This window comes from Homo sapiens, chromosome 1, assembly GCF_000001405.40.
Source record: "Homo sapiens chromosome 1, GRCh38.p14 Primary Assembly".
Taxonomy (NCBI): domain Eukaryota; kingdom Metazoa; phylum Chordata; class Mammalia; order Primates; family Hominidae; genus Homo; species Homo sapiens.
This window is the reverse complement of record NC_000001.11, coordinates 170,367,164-170,370,684: the sequence shown is the minus strand read 5'-3', so window position 1 is coordinate 170,370,684 and position 3,521 is coordinate 170,367,164. Positions and strand designations below refer to the sequence as shown.

At 46.9% G+C, this 3,521-nt stretch overlaps 1 pseudogene; it reads left to right on the top strand.

Moving 5' to 3' along the window:
- Window positions 316–1,763, top strand: HAUS4P1 (HAUS augmin like complex subunit 4 pseudogene 1; annotated as a pseudogene).

Sequence of the window (3,521 nt, the reverse complement as noted above, 5' to 3'; positions counted from 1 at the left end):
CAGATTTTCTAGGCTGTATGGTAAGTATGAATATGTTTAACTCTATAGTCTATTTATGTGTTTAAACATCCAGAAATGACTATACAATTTTACATTCCCACCAGCAATTTATATCAGCTCCCGTTCCTCCATATAACTTGCCAAAACTTGGAATGGTGAGCGTTTAGAAATTTTACCATTCTAGTTGGGTATTTGCATTTTTCTAATGACTAATAATCTTGAATATTTAAAAATGTGCTTATTTGCTATCTGCATATCTACTTTGGTGAAGTGTCTATTAAAATGTTTTGCTGCCCCTTCCCCTTCCTGGAGGGCCTTCCAGCACGGTCCTCCTGGGCCTCGCTTCCCCTAGCCCCTGTGGTGGGCCCGAATGAGAGGTTCCAGAGCGAGTTCCGGAGCCCCGGGGTGGGGTGGGTCCTGGGTGTAAACAGACGCTGCTGTCCAGCCTGCCCCAGCCGAGGATCTTGGCACCCCCTTGAGAGCTTCACCTGCCCCAGTATTAGAATCCCAAGAAAATCAAAAGGTATTTGGGGATTTCTGCTCACCTGGAGAAGGGATGGAAATACTTCAACAAGGCATGGAAGGAAGTTCGACTGCATAAGACAACGTGGTTGAGGTCTGAGATTTTACATGGAGTTATTCAGGAGTTGCTTGTGGACTACTGTGTGAAGATACAGGACACAAATTTAACTTCTGAGGACAAAAATTTCATGAGACCCTTGAACAGCGGCTACTCATAACTGAACTGACATGGCTCTTAGGTCCTAGCCAGGAGAGGGAGATACCTTCACTGCTAGAGCTGGAGAAAGCGGACCTTCTGGAATCCATGCCACTCTCAGACGATTTTGTGTGGATGAGGGCTCTGCTACAGCAAGAAGTGGAGGAGTAGCTCAAGAAGAAATGTTTCACTCTGCTCTGGTACTATGATCCCAATTCAGATGCTGACAGTGAAACCGTAAAGGCAGCAAACGTGTTGAAACTTGCAGAGGTCCTAGTGGCTAGGAAGCAGCAGTGCCAGGATGCCAAGAGCCAGCAAAAGGAGCAGATGGTGCTGCTGGAGAAGAAGAGTGCCACCTACTTCCAGGTGCTTCTCTGCTGCCTCATTTTGCTGCAGAGGCTTCTTCAGGAACAACGGCTGAAGACTCACTCCGAGTTAGACCACATCAATGCCCAGTACCTGGAAGTCAAGTGTGGTGCTATGATACTTAAGCTGAGGATGGAAGAGTTAAATATTTTGTCCAACACACTGCTGAGAAAGTGGAAGTTCATTGTCCGATTAGGGACCGTTTGGAGGGAGCGATTCACCTACGGGAGCAGCACATGGAGAAGTCAAGACAGGTCCTGAACTCCTATGAAATACTTGGGGAGGAGTTTGACAGACTGGTGAAAAGAGTCCACCCTACTCAAGCAGGCAACTGAGAAGCGGTGGGCCCTCCAGGAGTTCAACAAGGCCTACTGTTGATCTCTGGCAGGGCCAGGAAGCATGGCTTCTGCACAGCTGCTGCCTCCTAATCTTCCTGCTAGTAGGACCACGTTCACCTGGGGCTGCCTTCGCTACAAGGGAGTGTGGGAACGTTTGCACTTGCTTGAAAGACTGCAGTCGTTTAGGCACCCTCCTGGTTTTTCTTTCTTGTTTATAATGACTGGGCCTCTTCTGGAAAATCTAGCAAGCAGATTTATATAATTTTTATGCATGGCTGTTTGTCTGTGTCAGCCCTGTATATTTGATTATCTCCTGAATAAAGTTATGATATTATATCTTAAAAAGTGTTTTGTTTATTTTAAAAATGTTGTCTTTACAATTGAAATTAAGCGTTCTTTATGTATTTTGTATAAGTTCAGTATCAGATATAGCTTTTGAAAATATTTTCTTTCAGTCCATGGCCTGCCTTTTTATTTTCTAAATGTTGTTTTTTAAAAGGCAAATGTTTTATATTTGATAAAGTTCAATGTGTCTATTATTTCTATATCGTGTGTGTGTTTGTGAGCATGTGTCCAATCTAAGATATCTTTGTCTAGCTAGAGGTCCCAAAGATTTTTCTTGCATATTCTTCCAGAAATGTTTTGTTTTTCACACTTACATTTAGGTCTATGATGCATTTTGAGTTAATTTTTCTGTATGGTGAAAGAAAGGGTCAATGTTCACTTTTTGATTATACCATTTGTTGATTAATGAATACATTCCCCATTGAAATACCTTGGCACTTTTGTCAAAAATCACTAGGAGAGACAGAGGCAAGATAGCTGACCAGATGCAGCTAGTATGAGCCCCTTCCACAGAGAAGGACCAAAATAGGTCCTTCTTCTCTACCAGGAAGCAGATAATCACAAATCTAAGAAAGGACACTGGAATTCAACAGAGAAGTGACAGGAAGCACTGAAAACAAAGAAGGAGAGGGAAGTGAGGCAGCCTGCTCAGCCAAGATTGCCTGGGAGTTGGGAGAAGCTCTCAGATGCAGGGAAATGGTCAGTGAGACCTTCGGGGCTCCAAATTCTTGTCATGAACTTCAATTCTAGGCACTGGAGAGCCCCTCAACCCTCATGAGCATCAAGACTAACATAGGGAGCTGCCTAGAGATTGTACAAAGGCATTGTTTCAGAAAGGGAACTTAGGCTGAGTCCCACAGGCTTCTGAGCCTTGTGCAACTGTAACATTGTATCATTCTGAGAGCTCAGCCCCCAGAGGACTTTGTCCTACCCTGGGACCATCACTGCCATAGCTGCCACTGGGCCAAGGAGAACAAGAGGAGGATGGGTACTTTCTTCCGAGGACAAATCCCACCACTACTGCAGACTATTGTGGGGCCAAGATGTGAAGAAACTGTACACACCACAGCTGTCTGCCCGTGCTGCTCCCACTGAGAGTGGCACTGCCCTCCCTGGTAGCAGGCCCACAGCCAGTGCCATTTTGACAGCCCAGCCTCCAAAGCACTGTGATCTTCCCTGGGGCCACCAGGCCAAAGAAGGAGAGAGAAAGCTGGGCACTTTAACAAGCCCCGAGGACAAATACCACTGCCACTGCTATAGGCTGCTAAGAGACCAAGGTGTGAGCAAACTGCAAGCTCCACAGCTTACTGCTTTAGCTGCTCCCACTGAGAGTGGCCTTGCCCTCCCTGGAGGCAGCCTGCAGTGCAGCCACTGCTGCCCAAACCTGACAATTCTGCCAGCAGCCTAGGAACCATCTGCCCCTGCCTATCACAGCCACTGCCTGAACACACTTCCAGGGAACCTGAGGACAAAGTTATCAACTCAGTCCCATTTCCCTACTACTCTAGCATGCCATTTAGGGGCCTGGGGGTCTCTCAGCCCAGTTCATCACCAATGGTACCTGAACATTCCTCTTGGAGTCTGAAGCTGGGCTGACCCAACCTGTTGATACCACCACAGCTGGCAGTCACCCACATGAGCCACCTGCAGGTCAGCAGACTGGCCCACCCAACTTATCACAACCACCACCAATACCAGAATGGACTACCTGGGGTCCAGTGGGTTGCTCCACCACTGCTCCTGCCGTCACCCAC